Source organism: Homo sapiens, chromosome 8, assembly GCF_000001405.40.
Source record: "Homo sapiens chromosome 8, GRCh38.p14 Primary Assembly".
Classification (NCBI taxonomy): Eukaryota; Metazoa; Chordata; class Mammalia; order Primates; family Hominidae; genus Homo; species Homo sapiens.
In genome coordinates, this window is record NC_000008.11 from 18,916,276 (window position 1) to 18,937,644 (window position 21,369).

At 40.0% G+C, this 21,369-nt stretch overlaps 1 protein-coding gene across 18 annotated transcripts in view; it reads right to left on the minus strand.

Moving 5' to 3' along the window:
* Positions 1–21,369, minus strand: part of PSD3 (pleckstrin and Sec7 domain containing 3) — a 557,503-nt gene that overhangs the window by 388,973 nt on the left and 147,161 nt on the right. For 15 of the 18 annotated variants that reach the window (NM_001412865.1, NM_001412866.1, NM_001412873.1 and 12 more), the window contains one exon: positions 19,759–19,867. The exons of the other annotated variants lie outside the window; for them this stretch is intronic. In NM_001412865.1, coding sequence (NP_001399794.1) covers positions 19,759–19,867 — 109 coding nt within the window. The remainder of the gene's footprint in view (positions 1–19,758; positions 19,868–21,369) is intronic. 18 annotated transcript variants of the gene reach the window in all.

Sequence of the window (21,369 nt, forward strand, 5' to 3'; positions counted from 1 at the left end):
CTGAATGGATTTAAAAAAAGTGATATATATATATATATATATATATATATATATATATATATATATATATATATACACACACACACACACACACACACACACAAACAGAATACTATACAGCCTTAAAAATAAAGAAGAAAATCCCATCATTTGTGACAAAACGGATAAACCTAGAGGACATTATGCTAAGTGAAATAAGTCAGGCACAGAATGACAAATACTGCACGATCTTATTTACGTGCACAATCTTAAAATGTTGAGCACACAGTAGCAAAGAGTACGATGGTGGTTACCAGGGGCTACAGCAGGGAGGAGGATGAGGAGGTGTTGGTCAAATGGAACAAAATTTCAGTTAGATGGAATGAATACATTCTAGAGATCTGTCAGACAGCATGGTGCCTATAATCAATAATGTATCACACACTTGAAAATTGCTAAAGGAGTAGATCTTAAATGTTCCCACCACAAAAAAATAAGTATGTAAGGTAAAGAATATGTTAATTAATTTAATTTAATCATATCACAACGAATATATGTATGAAGATATAATACTGTATGCCATAAATCTATATAATTTTTGTCAATTATATCTTAATAAAGCTGAAGGAAATGAAAAAAAAGGAAATAAGGGAGAGAAGTCTTTAACATTTCTTTTTAAATAATATAAAATCTCTTCCCTCTAGCCCAGACCTGATACCCACCAGCCCACTGAATATCTGCATCTGAATGTGCCATGGGCATCTCCTACGCAACATGTCCCAAAGTGTCAGCATTCTTCCACCTTACCCCCAAATCCTCCCTCCCATCCACCCAGCTGCCCAAAGCAGAAACTACCCTCAATGCCTTCACCTTCTTTTCTTCCCGTATCATATCAGTAACCAATATCAGCAATCCCTGCAGTATGTCTCGTCTTCTGTATCTCCACTGCCTCAGTTCAGGTCTTCATTATGTGTCCCTCGCATTCCTGCACTACTTTCAGGCAGAGATGGAGATGGTTTACCCCACTATCCATTTCTCCTCTTCCCTTACTGATAGAACCCCTCCATTTTTAGCTAGGCACACGGCCGCTGAATAAATACTGTATTTTCAGCCTTTCTCTTACAGCTAAAAGTGATCATGGCACGACACAGGGGCAATGAGCTCTAACTAGAAGTCTTCCGTGGCAATTTCTCCAAAATAAAAGCAAGTCCTCACTCAACATTGCAGATTAGTTCTTGGAAACCAAGACTTTAAGCAAAACGACCTACAGCAAGTCCTCAAATAACACTGTTTTGTTATATTGATAACATAATTAGTTTTGTTACACATCCTATATGTTTCGCTTGAAGTCGCAGTTTCCAAGAACCTATCAAGGATGTTAAAGACTTACCATATCCTTTTATTACAGCTAGTGCATGCCCCTTTGCTCTTGCGATTTCCCACCCCCAACCCTGCCCCTTGCATTCCTGCTCTCAGGAACGTGGAGCTCAAGCAAACACATCAGAAGATGAGAAAATCTCCAAGGATGGCAGACCAACTAGCCCAAAGTAGCCAGGACCTGCAACACCGTGGAACCAACATACAAGCTGTGAATCATCTATCTGGATTCCTTTCATGGAAGAGAACTTTTATTTTGTCTAAGCCACCGGTGTGTGGGTGTGGGCAGGTGGGCGTGTGTGTTTATGTATTTATGTATCCTAACAAGGTTCACTGCCTCCAATCTCACCTCTCCAAAACCACAATCTATCTCTAGATTTCCTACTTCCAGAATGATTTCCAGACTGATTTCCTAAACCCTAAATGTGGAGAATCAATCCATTATTTTTTTAAAAAATTAATAAAATACACACTTACAGCATGCTTTAGCATGGCACGTAAGACCATTCATAACCTAGTCCCTGCCCACCTGAAGTCTTCTAGTTCATTGCTCCCTCTTGACACCAGCTGCTCTGACCAAGCCATGGTCTGCACAACACCACAGCTTTATATGTGCTTCTGCCACTGTCAAAACATCTTTCTTCCCAGCACCCGTTCTAAATTATCTTCAAAAACTCTGCTCAGATCTCAGATGTCACCTCTTCCAAGAAGCCTTCTCTCCATCCTGACTGAGGTACAAATTCACAGCCTCCCAAAGCCTCTGTTCTTACCTCTACTGTAGCAGGTATCATCCTGTGTCAGAATCATGTTATTACTTGCCTGTTTCTCCAACCAGACTTCACAGTCAGGCTGTAGGCTTCATATTTCTACCTCTAGCCCAGCAACTACAGGTATTCACTGAATGCGTGTTGAAAAAGTAAATACTTCCAGGAATGTACTGAAGGAAGTTTTTAGCATCTGGTACTTGACATACTAATAAACAAAAAACTAGGCCTCTTGATTCTTTGCCCAGGCCTGTTCCCAGTACATCAGCATTTCTCCAACTGTGTTCCAATAACATCCATTCAGAAAATGTGAATAATGTGTGGGTTTCCAGCTATGCAACACAGCTTCCAGTTCCACCAACCTGTCAAACTTCCACCACCCTCAAAGCCTCTCACCCCACCTTTTTGGTCTTCTACGTGGAGGGAGGGCACTGTACCTGTACCGTGCCCCTTTCCCTGGTTCCCACCATTCAGTCGTCATTCATAAGTGCCAGTTCAGACCCGGGGAAGACTATCTGGTCTTGCAATATTTTTAATAATCCTCTAAAGCTTGGCTAAAGACCGCCCTGAAACTCACCAGGCTCTACAATTTCCTTAATTCTCCTTTCTACAGATTAAGGTTTTGCCTCTTGGATTCTTTTTTTTAAGCACTAGTCCCTATCTTCATGATTTTCAAAGAATATCTAGAGTGGATATATAATTTACCTGCAAATATGCTCAGTTTCTTAGGATATTATGCCTCAGAGTTTAAATTCATACAAAAGGAGCCAGGTGATCTCTTCCGGGGCTTCAGCTTCTTCTAGCAGTGTTTGTTCTACCCTTTCAAACAAGCTGACTGTACTCCTTGATAGAGAAACGCCAGCCAGGAAGGAGTTTCGTATCTCTGCTTTATCTCAGAAATCTCTTAGCATTACCTCACACACCCTTAGAAAGGAGCCCCACCTTTCCTTTTTCTCTTTCTTTTTCACACACCACACAGTTATTGCCCCTGACCCGTGAGAACAGGATTGCTCAAGCAGCCATCCAAGGACTACCTGAATCGGGATCATCCGAGAGCTCATTCAATACTAGATTTCTGAGTCAAACAGAATCAGAATTACTGGAGTGAGGTTCAAGAATCTGAATTTTTAACAAGCATGGAAAGCATCCAAGGTGGAAACAGATCGTTGGCTTGCAAGGTGGGGCGGGGCAGGACTGGGGCGGCCAGGATCCCCAGAAACTGTCACCTGCAGCCCAAGACCACTGCTTTCCTTCACTTCCCTGCGCAATACAAAGAGTGTAATTTTCTATGTGCGCCATTTGTAGGGACATGGATGAAATTGGAAATCATCATTCTCAGTAAACTATCGCAATAATAAAAAACCAAACACCGCATATTCTCACTCATAGATGGGAATTGAACAATGAGATCACATGGACACAGGAAGGGGAACATCACACTCTGGGGACTGTGGTGGGGTGGGGGGAGGGGGGAGGGATAGCATTGGGAGATATACCTAATGCTAGATGACGAGTTAGTGGGTGCAGCGCACCAGCACGGCACATGTATACATGTGTAACTAACCTGCACAATGTGCACATGTACCCTAAAACTTAAAGTATAATAAAAAAATAAATAAATTAAAAAAAAAAAAAACAATCACAAAAAAAAAAAAGTTTCATGGAGTTTCTAGAATTTCCTAGAGAACTACTAAATTAGTATTTCTAGGGCAGGTTCACAATGATCATTTCCAAAACTTCTACAGGACAATCTAATGTGCCCTGATGCTTAGGAACCATCGCTTTAAAACAGCAATTCTCAACTCTTTAAGGGCAAAAATACCTTTTCGTAACATTTTGCAATGCCTTCTTTATTATCCTACAGTGAAATCCATCAACAATATAACTGCCTAAATATAAAATTCAAAATAATCCATATAATGCCCTAAATATCACAAAGGGGAAATAAAATTAAAATGATTTTCATTACATAAATGCTCAGGTTAGTCAGACACTTGCTTGTACCTAAAGGAGAATCATGCTGAAAGCAAGGTTCGAGTGTGGACAGATACAGCGGTATTGAAATGGTGATGCGGGAGCATGAGCGCTGCTTTCTTGGATGTGATACTTTGAAATAGTAAACAACTTTTAGTAAATTTGCAAACAAAACAAAGTATAATCTTCTCTCGATTTACATGGTAGTTACAGTCCTAGAAAACTCACTGATACTTAAAACCATTTAAGTAAAAAACCTTTTATTGACATATCCTAAGGCCGGATCATTAGAAACATATTTTTCTCCTACATGAATGTCCAACAGGACATTCGAGGCCATACAGAATGTAGAATAGTTCTTCCTGGTGTGGTACTATCCCAGGGACTAAAACTTGTCTAGCATGCCTCATCACCACCTATTAAAGGCTAGTAGCCACCTAGCCCTCCATCCCCAATCACTGTGATAACTAAAAATATACCCAACCATTCAACCTCCCCAAACAATATGAATAGAGGTACCTGTGTCAGGCTATAGTATTATTTTCCCTTGTGACACTATCATACATGATAGTGACTCCAGAATCTCTGCGTGATTCTACCTATACTTATAATATTTTCAAAAGCAAATATTTACATAAATTCTACCATAACAGAAATTGCTGGTGAAATTCTACATGAATGGAATGACAGTTTCACAGATATGAGAAACCTTCTTCAGAAATCCTTGAAAAAACAAATGTAAACTACTTTTTTTAACAATCAAATTGCATTTTCCTGTTGACATATTTCAATTTCAGAATTATCTTCTCACTATTAGTATTCAATTGGCAGTGGTTCCTAAGCAGTTCAGCTCTGCATGTCAGTAAAATATATCAAACTACAGTTTAAATGTATTAAATGATTCCAAAATGCATCCTTTTAGTGTTAAAATGGTTTATAAACATCTCAAGTAAATTATCTTTTAAAACACAATGGTTCTCGAGCCTGTATGTGCATGACAACAAACACTAGGGGAGATGCTTAAAATGTAGAGATGCTTGGGTCATCCCTTGCCCACAGATTCTAACTGCATAGGCATGGGTTAAGTAGAGCCTAGGAAGCTTTATTATTTCTTAAAAGGTCTACAGGAGATCCTCATGCTGGCAGAGGCAGATCTAGTTTTGTGGGTCCTGAAACCTACACACAACTGGGCAGGTGGTCACGGGGAGTCTCTTTAAGAAAAAGAACAAAAAAATGGCAGGTTTCTGGGAGCCTTGGGAATGCTTCCTGCATTGGCTTCATAGAAAATCCATCTCTGGATGCTACTTGGGGTTGCAAAGTGTGACATAATGAAACTCACAACTGGAACACATGGGCAAAAGTATAAAGTCATACACTATGTATGCAGAGGCCATAAGCCCAGTGTTCACGGGCTTCAGGAGATAATATAAATGAGTAAGGCAGGCAAGGTATGAGAACACAGGAGGGAGTGGTGACCAAGTACCTGTGCTCTGAAGGCACCAGCACTATTTCATGTCAATGCCAAGGCACACTCAGTGTTGGCATTCCTCAAATTCAGCAACAGAAGCTTCAAGTCTGGATTTTTACATGAAATCTCCCAGTTTTTAAAAGTTAGCTCAATATTTTAATAAAACATTGGTTAGACCAAATAAATCATAAGTTAAAAATGCCAGTATGTCACTTCTGCTTTATAGAAGGGAAAAGATATTTCCTACCTAAAAATAAAACTGAAGAGTAGATAGTTTATTCAAGGATCCATGAAGGGAGACTGCTAAAAACATACTTTGTGAGTCAGTTCATACACCTGACAATGAAAAAACGGTTTGTTCAGGGATTCTGCAACATCTCAAGGACCTAAAGTTTACTCTAACACGTCCTAACGGAACCCAAAGAGTTCTGTAAGTCAATAAAAGGCAAGCTCTCCAATATAAAACTCGTGAACAGGAAAATCTTTCAAAATGAATCATAAATGGCTAATAAGCACATGAAAAAAGTTTGACCTCAATTACATCTGGTGCAGCAAGTCTGTGGAGATTAAAGTTCTCAGTTCTAATTATGACATTCTGAGAACACAGGAATAAACTAAACGGAAGTGCTTTTCCTATTCTCTCACTCAACCTACACAGAAGACTTCTGTGACCAAATGTTTTCCCCACAAACCGAGCAAGCAATCAATTCTGCAGGATACACCACCTGGGTGTCCTGTAATTCAATTCAACTGCAATACTATCTAACTCGAGACAGTATTAGATCCCACGGGTTGGGGACTCAGTCTCCAAGACTGCCCCTTCCCTTCAGATGCCCATCTAAAGCCGTAGGTTGTTTCACCTGCGCTTCTGACTGGCTATAAATCAGGATTCTCACAGCCCCCTCCTTGGGTTCGATTAATCTGCTAAATCAGCTCACAGAACACAGGGAACCACTTATGTTTACCAACTTCTGATAAAGGCTGTTACAAAGGATACAGATAAAGGGATGCATGGGGCAAGGCATGTGGGAGGGGGCAGAGAGTTCCATGCCCTCTCTGGACACACCGCCGTCCTGGAACCTCCATGTGTTCGTCTTTCAGGGAGCTCTGCAAACCCTGTCCTTTTGGGTTTTTATGGAGGCCTCATTAGTAAGCATGATTCACTCAATCATTGGCTATTGGTGATTTCCTTAAACTTCACCCCTCTCCCCTCCCCAGAGGTTAGGGGATGGGACTGAAAGTCTCAACCCTCTAATCCAGGGGTGTCCAATCTCTTGGCTTCCCTGGGCCACACTGGAAGAACTGTCTTGGGCCACAGATAAAATACACTAACACTACCAACAGCTGATGAGCTTTGAAAAAAAAACCTCATAATGTTTTAAGAAAGTTTAAAAATTTGTGTTGTGCCACATTCAAAGCTGTCCTGGGCTGCATGTGGCCCATGGGCTGTGGGTTGCATAAGCTTGCTCTAAGCTTGGACAAGGTAGCCCCATTCTAAAGCCACATAAGGGTTGCCAGGCATCAGTTAATTCATTAGCATACAAAAAGACATACCACTTTGAAAATCCTAGAAATTTTAAGAGGAAACTCAGAGGGAAGACCAAATATAGTCATGTGCCACATAATGACATCTGGCTCACCAATGACCACATATAGGACGCTGATCCATAAGATTATAATGCCATATTTTCACTGTACCTTTTCTATGTTTAGACATACAAAGACCACTGTGTTACAATTGCCCACAGTATTCAATACAGTAATATGCTGTGTAGGTTCGTGGCCTAGAAAAAACAGGCTAAGCCATAGAGCCTAGGTGTGCAGTAGGTATACTATCTAGGTTTGCGTAAGTACATTTTATGATGTTTGCACAAAGATGAAATCGCTTTATGACACATTTCTCAGAATGTGTCCCTTTCTTTAGATGACACATGGCTGTATATACTTCACAGTGTTAGATGTGATGTCCACTGCTGTTCCAAAGCTGATTTGATCCTACTCTCAAAAAAGTCAAATCCTGCTCCTCAGCTTTTCAACAGCTACTTTAAATATATATATATACATATATGTGTGTGTTTTATATATATATACATATATTAAACACCAATCTAAAAAAATAGATCTTGTAGACAAAAACACTGAACAGACAGTAGAAATATGCTTTTCAGTATGCTCTCCTGGTTGATTTCTGCAACACTTCTTAGTTATCTTAGTATATAAAACACCAAGTAATTCCAAAGAAGTAGTTAAGGCTACCAGCATACAGCCCATTCTACAGATACGTGGGCCAGTGTGGAATAAGGTGGAACCTCTAACTTACTATACCAAAAACCCTAGCCAAAGAGAAAGTTATAGTCACTTCCTGGCCCACTTTGTCAAGCCAAAACAGACCATTGGAAACTACTGCGTATCAAGCAGAGGCTGTGGTACAGCTAAAATAATGGAGAACATATGGTCAGTTTAATAACGGCCAAGGAATAGTGAGCAAGTCTAACACATACTTGTTATTATACTGTAAAATCATTTTTCTGCTTTCCATAATGGGTGGGAAGGAGGCTGGAGAGTGGAAAGAAAGGAGCAAAATAAATAAAAATGGCCAAACATAGAAGATTTTCTAAAGGACTAGCCACAAAATTATAAACCAACTTCTATCCGTGGTGAAAACAAGAAAATAAATCAACAGAAAACCTGAGAATTAGCAGATTTGTCATTTCTTCCTTTGTTTATTTGTGGTATTCTATCCCAGCCCACATTTTTCCTAAAGCAATAACTCGTAGGTTTCCTGGGTCCTGCAGCCAGATGCAAAGATCTGAATAGGCATGAGTAGGGGCTGAGCTGCCATGCTACTTTTTTCTTGTCTTGCTCTCCAGGAATTCCGTGTGTATGGTGAGGCGTCTACCTAAAGCAGACGCTCAACATTCACCCAACACATTCTATCTGTTATTCAGAATTATTCAGCTTCTTCTTTGCACTAAAAAGAAAAAATAACTAACTCAAAATGGGCCACAGACATAAAGGTAAGAGTTACAACTATAAAACATGGAAGGAAATACAGGACTAAGTTTTCTTCACTTAGGCAATGGTTTCTAAGACATGACATGGGAAGTACAAGCAACAAAATAAGAGATATAGATAACTGGACTTCACCAAAATTAAAACCTTTTGTACTATAAATGATGACTATGAAGAAAGTGAAAACATAACGAATACAATAGAAGACAGTATCCAGAGTCATACAATTAAGAAGGGGCTTGTATACAGATTATAGAAAGAGTGCTTTCAACTCAATCATAAACAGACAAATAAGCCAATTAAAAAACACAGCTGGGCCCTGTGGCCAGGAGTTTGAGACCTGCCGGGGCAGCACAGCCAAACCCCATCTCTACAAAACATTTAAAAATACAAAAGTCAGCCGGGCATGGTGGCGTACACCTGTGGTTTCAGCTACTCAAGAGGCTGAGGTGGGAGGCTCACTTGAGCCCAGGAGTTCAAGGCTGCAGTGAGCTATGCTATGATTGTGCTACCACACTTCCAGGCAACTATCTCTAAAAGTATATATATATATATATACACACACACACATATACATATAATAAAAATTCTCTAATTTTTTGGAAAAATGTTAAAAAATGGGCAAAGAATCTGAATAGACATTTCTCTAAAGATATACAGGTTGAGCATCCCTAACCAAAAATCTAAAATTCAAAATGCTCCAAAATCTGAAACGTTGGAGTGCCAACGTAACACAAGCGGATGATGACATTAATTAACACTGCAAAAAAGTGCCCATAGACAACATGATGAAAATGTGTGATGGGTTTATTCAAGGACTACAGCAGGGTACATTCATAATAGAACAAGAAATCATGCCAGTTTATAAAATTCGAGAGAGAAGTCGAAGTCAAAAACTACTGTTAACGAGGAAGATGACTGGAGGACGCATTTAAAAAGCCATCCAGCAGAAAGCCTCCTCATCCTTAGAGGACTCACTTCCAGGTCCCTCAACTGCTACTGGTGTTTCTGCTCAACTCAAAAAACAAAACCACGTACAGTGAATTCTTATCTTTTTAAAAAAATTTTCTTTCTTTTCTATAACCTCATTTTAGAAATGATAGAGTTTTTAATCAAAACACAGCATGGCAGAGGAAGACGGAAAGCCTACCGTTGTTTGTTCCTGCCACTGTCCAGGAACTAACATAGGTATTCTGGTGATGCTACTGTACTGCTTAGCTATCCTGAACACATTTATTTTTTCACCATATTAATGGTATGTTGTTTTTTTTTTTTACTGTTAAATATGTATGTGTGAATCAGTGTTAGAAAATGATCGCTTCTTAGAAGAATATACATTCAGAGGCAGGAATGAGGGTGATGCCACACAACCACAGACTGTCCACATGGGTGGCTGAGATAGTGACCTCTGCATTCTGATGATTCAGCATACATGAACTTTCTTTCATGCACAAAATTATTTATAATTTATAATTATATAATTATAATCATAATTATAAAACAAATGAATTTCATGTTTAGACTTGGGTGTCATCCTCAAGATATCTCATTATGTATATGAAAATATTCCAAAATTCAACAAAACCCAAAAAATCCAAAATCTGAACTCCTTCTGGTCCTAAGCATGATGGGATATTTAAGCTGTACAATAAACCATAAGCACAGGAAAAGATGCTCAATGTCATTAGTCATTACAAAAATGCAACACAAAACCACAATGAGATACTACTTCATATCTCCTAGGATAATTATAATTTAAAAAGAAAGACAGAGAATAACAAGTGTTGGCAAGAGTGTGGAGAAACTGGAACCCTGTAAGTAAGAAAAAACACACAGATAAGCAATTTTTCCTCTGATCTCACACCACAAGGTGTGGAGATTTTCTCCACACATGAAGCAAGCAATCAGTCCTACAGAGGATACCAGCTAGTTGTCCTCTAATGCAATTCATTTCCAACACTATCTACCCGGATATGGCATCAGATCCTACAGGTTGAGGGCTTGGTCCCTCTACCCCACCCCTAACCCCATGCCCTAACCCCACCTCACCCCTGCCACTTTAGATGCCAGTTTCAAGCCCCAGGTTGTTTTATTTGTGCTTCTGAAAGGGTCTAGATCAAGGATCCCACAACCCTTTCCCTGGGCTCAGTTAATTAGCTAGAGTGCCTCACAGAACTCAGGGAAACATTTACTTACATTTACTGGCTTATTATAAAGGGTATTACAAAGGACGCTGAAGAGATGCATATGGTATGTATGGGAAAAGGGGCACGGAACTTCCAAGCCCTCCCCAGGCACGCCACCTTCCAGAACCTCCATGTGTTCAGCTACCCAAAACCTCTCAAACGCTGTCCTTTCGGGTTTTTTTGTTTTGTTTTTTCTGAGACAGAGTGTCACTCTGTTGCCCAGGCTGGGGTGCAAGGGCGCAACCTTGGCTCATTGCAACCTCTGCCTCCAGGGTTCAAGCAATTCTCCTGCCTCAGCCTCCCGAGTAGCTGGGATTACAGGTTCACGCCACCATGCCTGGCTAATTTTTGCATTCTTAGGAGAGACAGGGTTTCATCACGTTGGTCAAGTTGGTCTCGAGCTCCTGACCTCGTGATCCACCCTCCTCAGCCTCCCAAAGTACTGGGAAGACAGGGATGAACCACCACGCCCACCCCTTTGGTGTTTTTATGGAGGCTTCATCACACAGGAAGGAATGACTAAATCATTGGCCAACTTAACCTTCAGCCCTTCGCTCCTCCCAGGAGGCTGCTCACTGCTGCTGTGTAGCCACTGACCCGGGGGCTCTGGGCTGCTGCCATGCTACTTAGTTTCCCTGAACACACGTAGGAGAAAGTCCGAACCCTCCAATCCCGCTGTGTCCTTCTGGTGCCCAGCCCCGTCCTGAAGCTACCTAGGGGCTGACAGCCATCAGTCAACATATGAGCACACAAGAAGACATCATTGCGGACATTCTAAGGATTTTAGGAGGTGTATGCCAGGAAATGGGGACAAAAACCAAATACATATTTCACAATATCACACCCTCATACACTACTGGTGGGAATATAAAATTGTACAACTGTTGTGGAAAACAATTTAGAAGTTCCTCAAAAGGTTTAATGTAGAATTGCCATTCAACTCGGCAATTCTACTTCTAGCTGTATACCCAAAAGAAATGAAAACCTACATCCACTCAAAAACTTGTACAACAGTTCTCCTAACAGCATTACTCACACAAGCCAAAAAGGAAAAGCAACCCAAATGTATGGTTTGGCTGTGTCTCCACCCAAATCTCACCTGGAATTGTAATAATCCCCACGTGTCAAGGGCGGCGCCAGGTGGAGATAATGGAATCATGCGGGCAGTTTCCCCCATACTGTTCTCATGATAGCAAATAAGTCTCATGAGATCTGATGGTTTTATAAATGGGAATTTCTCTGCACAAGCTCCCTCTTGCCAGCTGCCATGTAAGACATCCCTTTGCTCTTCCTTCGTCTTCCACCATGATTGTGAGGCCTCTCCAGCCATGTGGAACTGTGAGTCCATTAAACCTCTTTCCTTTATAAATTACCCAGTCTCAGGTGTGTCTTTATTAGCAGCGTGAGAACAGACTAATGTATTAAATTTCCCTCAAATGGTGAACAGATAAAATGTGTACCATCCATATAATCGACTATTATTCCACACAAAAAAGTAGTGGTAAATTTTACAGCAAAACTAGTCATAACAATGATTCCATTTATATGAAGTGTCCAGAATAAGAAAATCTCTAGAGATAAAAAGCAAATTAGTGGTTGCCTAGAATGACAGTCAGTGGGTGTTCTCTCTCTCTTTCTTCCTTCCTTCCTTTTTTTCTTTTTATCTTTCTCTTTTTCTTTCCTTCCTTCCTTGTTTCTTTCTTTCTTTCCTTCCTTCCTTGTTTCTTTCTTTGTTTCCTTCCTTCCTTCTTTCTCTTTCTCTCTCTCTCTCCCTTCCTCTCCTCTCTTCTGCCTTTTATCCTTTCCTCTCCTTTCCTCTTCCTCTTGCTCAAGACAAGGTCTCACTATGTTGCCCAGACTGGACTTGAACTCCTGGGCTCAAACAGTCCTCCCACCTCCAGCCTCCCAAGCAGCTGGAACTACAGGAAGGAGCCACCAACAAGTCTTTTGTTTTTAAGATGATGAAAATGTTCTAAAGTGGCCTGTGGTGATGGATGATGCACAATTCTATGAACGTACTAAAAATCCACTGAATTTTACACATTAAATGGATGAATTGTATGGTTTACAAATTGTATCTCAATAAAGTTATTTTTTAAAGTATTCAGCCTTCTGGGTCACTATGGCAGACAAGGATACAGATTTGTTTAATCTTCTCTAAGTCATATGAAAATGGCAACAACCAATTTCAAAAGAAAATAAATTCACAACAGTGCTAAAAAAAAAAAGAGTATAACCATAGACAAAATAACCATAGACAGAAGTCACAACCCCAAACAAGCCCAGAGGGCCACAGTTATCCTAACAGTAGAGCCACAGAGAAGCTAGAAACCCAGAGTTGGCAGGTCTCCAGATCTGGAATGGGAAGCAGAACATATGTCACCATGATTAACTGAAAAATCATCTGCAGAACAGCTTCCCATCCTAGCCCCCTCCCACCCTGTTCCCCAACCCAGAGGCTTGCCTGCAGCAAGGCAGTTAGCATGGGTCTAATCCCACCTGCACTTGTGCCAGTCCATACACCCCACCTCGTAGAAACCCATTCCAGCCCTCTTCTATATGAAGGGAAGAGGCCTGCTAAGGACACACACTCCACACAGCCAGAGCAACTCCACCTGTCTATATCTGGGAACCCAAACTTTCATTCATGCATATGAATGAAAAAAACAAACTCCAACAGACATTTGAGGACTAACGGTGGCTTTCAAAAGAAGTTCTAAGATTTAATGAAACAACTGACCCTCGATGAAGCAAAAATCCAGGAAACAGAAGATAATCTCAGGGGGAAAAAAAATCTAATTGTTTATTTAGAGAGATTCAAAATAATGCATCCATAAAAAAGCAGACTGCAATGAAAATTGAGTGACCAGAGAATGGGAAAGAACTCTTGAAACTATAAATAAAACTATAAAAATGTTGTTAGAAAGAGTGGAAGATCGTACTTTAAAATAGGAAAGAAAAATTAAAAGACATAGAAGATTGATCTAATCCAGGAGAACCAACACCTATCTAATAGGAACTGCAGAAGTAAAAACCATTTTTAAAAAGTAGAGAGGACAAATATTTTCAGAGCTAAGGAAAGACATGACTGAAAGGGCTCCACAGGCACCATACAGCAAGAACACAAGACTCACACTTCCAGAAACGTGAGTGGGTAGGGGTCAAGAGAGCCCTGAAAGCTGTCCATAGAGATAGAGCCAATTACCCACAGGTGAGATCTCAAAGGTCTTTTCATTTAAGAGACTCCAGTGCATACTGCATACTAAATCAAAGCCAATTAAGGCAAAAGAAGGGATTAAATATTTTGAAACGCACACTGCAAAGTCTACCACTTGTGTTATTCATTCCTCATTCAGTTACCTAATTCCTAATCTGCTTAATTTCCCAAACAGTGAAACCGGAGGACAGGCCATGAACTTTCACGTACAAGTCTTTACATTGGCATACGCTTGGGTATCCTGGGTAAGTATCAAGAAATGGAATGGCCTAGTGGTACAGAACGTATATCTTTAACTTCTTAACTAACTTTTTCAATTTTTTTTTTTTTTTTTTTGAGATGGAGTCTCGCTCTGTTGCCAGGCTAGAGTACAGTGGTGCGATCTCAGCTCACTGCAACCCCCACCTCCCGGCTTCAACCGATTCTCCTGCCTCAGCTTCCTGAGTAGCTGCGATGACAGGCATGTGCAACCACACCTAGCTATTTTTTTTATTTTTAGTAGAGACGGGGTTTCACCATGTTGGCCAGGATGGTCTCCATCTCTTGATCTCGTGATCTGCCCGACTTGGCCTCCCAAAGTGCTGGGATTACAGGCATGAGCCACTGCGCCTGGCCTTCAACTGTTTTTAAATAATTGGACCTTTTACATTCCTGCCACCAGTGTGTACGAGCTCAGTAGCTCCACTTTCTTACCAATCACAATATGGCCAGTCTTTTTAATTTTAGCCTTTCTAGTAGATTTTATTAGTATCTCATTGTGGTTTTCATTTCCATTTCCCTAATAACTAATAATGTTGAGCATCTTTTCATGTGCTTACCTGCCATCCATATATCTTCTTTGGTGAAGTATCTGTTACAATCTTTTGCCCATTTTTTTTTCCCTTAGGGGATTTTCCTTCTTGTCATTGAGATGTAAGAGCTCTCTATGTATTCTACATACAAGTCTTTTGTTGGATGTCCAACACACAATGTCAATAGTCAAACTGTTGCGAAACCCTGATCTAGTTAATTTTGCTGAAAAGAACCACATTATACTGCAAGGAGTCATGTATCTACATATGATTCACTTTACCTTTAAAAAAAAAACAGGTAATTTTTAAAAAACTGACATGAGACACTTCTTAAAATCATATGCTACAGCATCCATTCACATCTAAGTCCAGCAAGCACCTTAGTTATTCATACTTATGACCATAAATCATCATAAAGAGAAAATTTGCTTAGACAATACAAGTTAGAATGAGCTCCAACTAAAAGAAAATTAACATTTTAACAAAATTTTGGTATGTCTTTCAGAGGCTTCCAAGCAACTAAGCTCTCACTACACAATCACTCTAGAACCTTAAAATTATAACACATTTCCTATGGCTTCCCCACTAGTGCCACCCGACTCTTTTCTTTTAATGATGGGCTCTGAACAGTTCAGGTGACGGCAGCAGGGAGGCAATGTGAAAACAGTTCTCCTCCTTCCTCCGTTAGTCATCAGGTACCTTCTCCAACAGAAGAGTCCCCGAAGGCCTCCCTCAGAGCCTGTTTACTCTGATAGTGGTTGCCTTTCTAACACAGCACATTTATAGCATATTTCAAGGGAGTGGGGTGATGTGACTTTTACGTCTTTCCAATCTGAGAGTTGGTTTTCCTACAGGAACAGATGATGTCACATTTCACACATGATTCAGAGCAGAGGAGCCTGGATCATGGTCTCAAACCTACCAATGAGTTTGGGCAAATTAATTCATTCTCTTGAGTCCTCAGTTTCCACATCTATAAAAGGCAAAGGTGACTTCTACTATTTCTTCCAACATAAAGATTCTGCTACTTTAATACATAAGCGGTTTCCTAACAGCTAAACACTGATTGGGTACCACGTGCCAAACCCTGAGCTGTGTATTTACAATCTCATTCGATTTCCAGTACAACTCTATGAAGAAGTTACTACCATTTTCCCTATTTTACAGATGAAGAAACTGAGGAGGCTCAGTGTTGTCCACAGGCACCTGTCGTAGGCTGGGACCCAGGCTCTGCTGCAGCTGCCATCAGCACTTTGCATTCAGTAAAGTGGGAGGAACAAGATACAGCTTTATGCCAGCCCACAGACAGCTGTGAGAAGTAATTACAGTCAGAGAGTTTCAAAAACACACACAAACTCTAAAAAGCAAGTTTAGGACAATTTATGAAGTTCTACAATTCTCCACGCAACTGAATAACCCATGAAGATACCTATCTTACCTCATTACATCAAATAACTTCCAATTACTGGCATGCTGTGCCTACTAAGAGGACTGCACTAAAGCTGAGACTTCTCATGGGCTATGAGAGAGACTGGATTTTTAATCGGATTCTAAATCATCTCAGCTATGTGCCTTTAGTCATGTTCTTTAATACCTCTGAAGCTCATTTTCCTCACCTACTTATTTTTAAAAGTCTGTAAACTCTTCAACTTGCCTTAGGAGGCCCTACATGATATGGCCCTTTTCTAAATGGTAATCTTTCTGAACTTATCTCTCAGTGATGATGTCTGCAGACTAACCAGGCTAGTCTTCCCCAGTTCGTCAAACAATTTCTATTTCCTGCTCATACCATTTCTGCAATTTGAAATGCTCTCCCCACAAAACTCTAATATTCAGAATTCTAGTCATCCTTCAAGACCAAGTTCAACTTCCACCTCCTCCATGAAGTTATCACCAGACAAACTAAATGTGATCATTCTTCCTTGCTAGTCACTTGGAGACATATTGTTTCTTCTTAGCTAAAGAATAAGAAACTTATGAGTAAGAACCATGTCTTCCACGTCTTTGCACCTTCAATGTGCCCAACGCAAGTAACCTGCACAAAGGTGCTCATTAAATGTATTTGTTCAACAACGCATGCATCCTGTCACACCTACAGCATAACATCACACCAGGAGCAACTACTACCAACCATTTTTACCAAGGCAAATAAGAAACAAAAGGTTTAAGGTGTCATTTTGGTTTGCCTCGGCTATGATATATCTGAGCTGCTGATACAGGGAAAACTACTCAAAACCCACGAGTAAGGAAGAACCAAACTCACTCACCAAATAAGGCAGAGAACTATGTAGACATTTGGTATTATCTCTATATAGTTAAGGAAAAATCAGTTTTATTATAGCCAAAAAAAAAAAGCTTAATTAGCAAAAAAATCACAGTGTCACATTCAAAGTTATGTCTATGCCAAGGAGTTTTATTTTTTAAATTTTTTGTTTATTTTTTGAGACAGAGTCTCACTCAGTCATCCAGGCTGAAGTGCAGTGGCATGATCTCGGCTCACTGCAACTTCTGCCTCCTGGGCTCAAACGATTCTCGTGCCTCAGCCTCCCGAGTAGCTAGAATTACAGGCACATGTCACCATGGCCAGCTAATTTTTATATTTTTAGTAGAGACAGGCTTTCACCATGTTGGCCAGGCTGGTCTCAAACTCCTGACCTCTGGTGATCCATCCGCCTCTGCCTCCCAAAGTGTTGGGATTAGAGGTGTGAGCAACTACGCCAGGCCAATGCCAAAGAGTTTTCAAAAGTCTGGGGATAACTATAATCAGTACCCTGTCAGGGAAAGAGTAAACAGATGATTAGGTACCTCAAACTTCAAGCCCAGAATAGTTAGGTACTTATGATGCATGACAAACAGCATAAATGGCTACAATACATGTTAAGTATAAGAGATATACTACGAAACACATTCTCCTCTAAATTAGGACACTGTGATAAAAGCCAAATGATTTTTAAAAATAATTTAGCTGTTTTTTTTACTGTATCTAAGAGTCCCCAACTATTAAGATATCTAATAAATATTCACTTTTTAAGCTAAAAGAAGTTATTATATGGCTGTGTATACACTGCCTTCTTGGTATCCTCAAATATTCTGGAGTTATTAAATAATCCCATCTAACATGTGAGTCAAAAATGTGTAGTTCATACCTGGGTTTCTTCAGCTGAGCAACAGCTGTATGTATTAAGTCAGATTCTTGGTCTTCCCAAAACAAAAATAAGTATCAGATAATAATAAAGCTGAAAAATTAAGGATTGCACTTATAATATCGGCCTCAAAGGTCAGGGATATGATGATGATGGTGATGGTTATCACAATAATTAACAGCAGCCAACACTTTTATAGCACTTATTACATACCAAGCATGACTCTAAGATCCTTTTTTTTTGAGACGGAGTCTCGCTCTATCGCCCAGGCTGGAGTGCAGTGGCGTGATCTCGGCTCACTGCAAGCTCTGCCTCTCGGGTTCATGCCATTCTCCTGCCTCAGCCTCCCGAGTAGCTGTGACTACAGGCACCTGCCACCGCGCCCGGCTAATTTTTTTTTTAGTAGAGATGGGACATGACTCTAAGATCTTTATAAATGTCAACTTATTTCATTCTCAAAATAATTCTAAGACATAAGTCACTATAATCCCATTTTACAGATGAGAAAACTGAGCCGCAAATAAGTTGGATAGCTTTGCAAGGTCACACAGTTTATAAGTTCAAGGCCAGGTTCAAACTCAAGAAGTCTAGATCCAGAACTCAGAGAATATTAACCACATGCAATAGCCTTTTCCAATCTAATTCTCAAGATATGCTAATATCCCCTTTATCATCGGTTTTCCATAAAATTACACGTTTTGAAATTCAATACAAAGCTATTTGCATTTTTATCTTGTACCTCCTTCTAGGAAAATGCCTTCAAAAAAGTATTGCATTAACAGGATGAGCTCTGCGGTCAGGCAAACTTGCCTTATACTCCTGGCTCTGCTGTGTGAGTGATTGTGACTGGGAGAAGATTACTTCAGATCCCTCATCTGGAAAATGGGGATAACGGTACCAACTTATAAGGTGATTGTGATGATTAGCATAGTGCCTCACCACACAGTAAGTAATCTAGTAGGTTAATTATTACTGTAATTAGCACTAGTAATAGTTCTATTTGTTCTAAATTTACCTGTTTCAAAGTGAAAAATGTTGCTTCTAGTTCCAGAAGACTAAATTTGATAACTAGATTAGGCCAATACTAAAAAGTATTAAAAATAAACAAGAGCTACAATAACCTCCAAAGTAAAGACTGCAGTGGCTGAAAATCATTGTGGAAATGTTTCCTAATAATATATTTTGTTAGTGAAAAACAAGCACCAAGGGCTGGGCACAGTGGCTCACATCTGTAAACTCAGTGTTTTGTGGGGCCGAGGCAGGAGGATGGCTTGAGGCCAGGAGTTTGAGACCAGCCTAGGTAGCATAGCCAGACCCTGTCTCTTAAAAAAAAAAAAAAAAGAAAAAAAGTATTTTTTTAATTAGTCAGGTGTGGTGGCATATGCCTGTAGTCCCAGCTAGTTGGGAGGCTGAGGCAGAAGGATCATTTGAGCCTGGAGGTCAAGGCTGCAGTAAGCTAGGATGATGCCACTGCATGCCAGCTTGGATGACAGAGCAAGACTTTGTCTCAAAAAAAAAAAAACCACCAAAAATACATTAGTCAATATATATAACAATGGTAACTATGGAAAACTCTTATGAAAACTGGTTAATTCTTGGAATTTCAAATATCAGAAGCTGAGAATTCTTCAAACCAAGAACATGACTTGAAATTACCAAGAATAGGCCACAAGAATTACATGAAATATTTGCGGATTCTACATCTTGGGAAGATTGTTTTGATGAATAATTAGGGAAAGCAGGTTTCACAGAGGGAAGAAGAAAGTAATGCAGGTGGAGAAAAATCACTTTGAAATCACAGCTCTTCATATAGTTTACCTGGGAGAGGGATATGAGGAAATACTTACTAGTATCTGGAGCTTTCCCTTCAGATCTGCCAAATAAAAATTCATATTTGGCCTTGGCAACACTCTGGGAATGTGCAGATGCATTGTTCACCCAAACAAATGTCTCTGCCTGCAAAATAAGAACAAAACAAAGACACATTTAAAATACATCATTAAAAAACACATCATAAAACAAATTATCCAACATGAGATTGGTAAAATAATTATGACATATGTACTCAAAGCTATCTAACCATTCAAAATGAAACATGAAAAGTGTAACATGAAAAGAATCAGAATACAAACTATCACTGCATGATTATAGCTATATAAAAAATGTATACATATAAACATCTATAGGGAAGTCAGAGGAAAATAAAAAGGATGGCTTGATTGGGAGGCTGAATTATGGTCGGTTTTTAAAAAATTAACTTAATGTAACTTTTCTGCAATTAGAAAACTATATTTTGGCTGGACGCGGTAGCTCACACCTGTAATCTCAGCACTTTGGGAGGCCAAAGCAGGTGGATCACGATGTCAGGAGTTCGAGACCAGCCTGACCTACATGGTGAAACCCCATCTCTACTACAAATACAAAAATTAGCCAGGTGTGGTGGTTCCTGTAATCTCAGCTACTCTGGAGGCTGAGGCAAGAGAATCACTTGAACCAGGGAGGCAGAGGCTGCAGTGAGCCAAGATCGTGCCACTGCACTCCAGCCTGGGTGACAGAGCTAGACTCCATCTCAAAAAAAAAAAAAAGAAAACTGTATTTTGTTTTTAAACACATCATTTTCCAACTGATTATCATCACCCACAGTCCATAACAAGAATATTTCTTTGTGTGGCTTCTGTTAAAGTACACCAACAAAAAAACCAGTCTTTCCCCAAAATAGATCACATTTTTATATAATCAGGAACACCATTCAGCCGAACAGGGCATGGAACAGAACTGCCAGGCATCCCATTTATACTGATTGTCCTACATTTCAACATCTGTCCCAGGGTCCTGTGTAACTCCTAAATTCCCTTATTTGAAACAAGAACTACAAAGGTGATGGTGAAAGTGGTACATCCTAACTCTGAACTCCTAAGACCTCCTTCCTCGCTGTTTTAGGCAACTGTCAAAAATCAGGAGTGTCTCTGTTCTCCGGCTGAGGACTAATTAAAAACAAGTAGCAAGGAAAAAAATTTCAAGACACAAAGAAATTTGACCTAGCACAGTCAGGGACGCCTTCTTTTGCCTCTTTACTATGAACCTAAACATTAACCAGGATACAGATATCACCGGTACTGGTTTCTACCCACTGGTTATGAGACATCATCTTTTCTCATGTCTGAACAGTGACTGACCATTCACTTTGGGGGAGAGAAGCGTGAAGGGTTTTAACAGCAACGAAGTAACTATTTCAAAGAGGGAAATGTTAGTATTTCTATTCTATGCTTTGGAGTAGAAATGACTGACAATACTAGGAAGACCCAATCACACCTCCATCACCCCACTGGAGACAGGTTCAGGGGGCAGACCCCACTTTGTTCTTTAATACCAAGAGCTAGCGTGCACAACATTCAGACAGCAATTTCTTAAAAGAGCTCCACAATCACTTAATGTTCATAACGCGTCAAATGTATCGG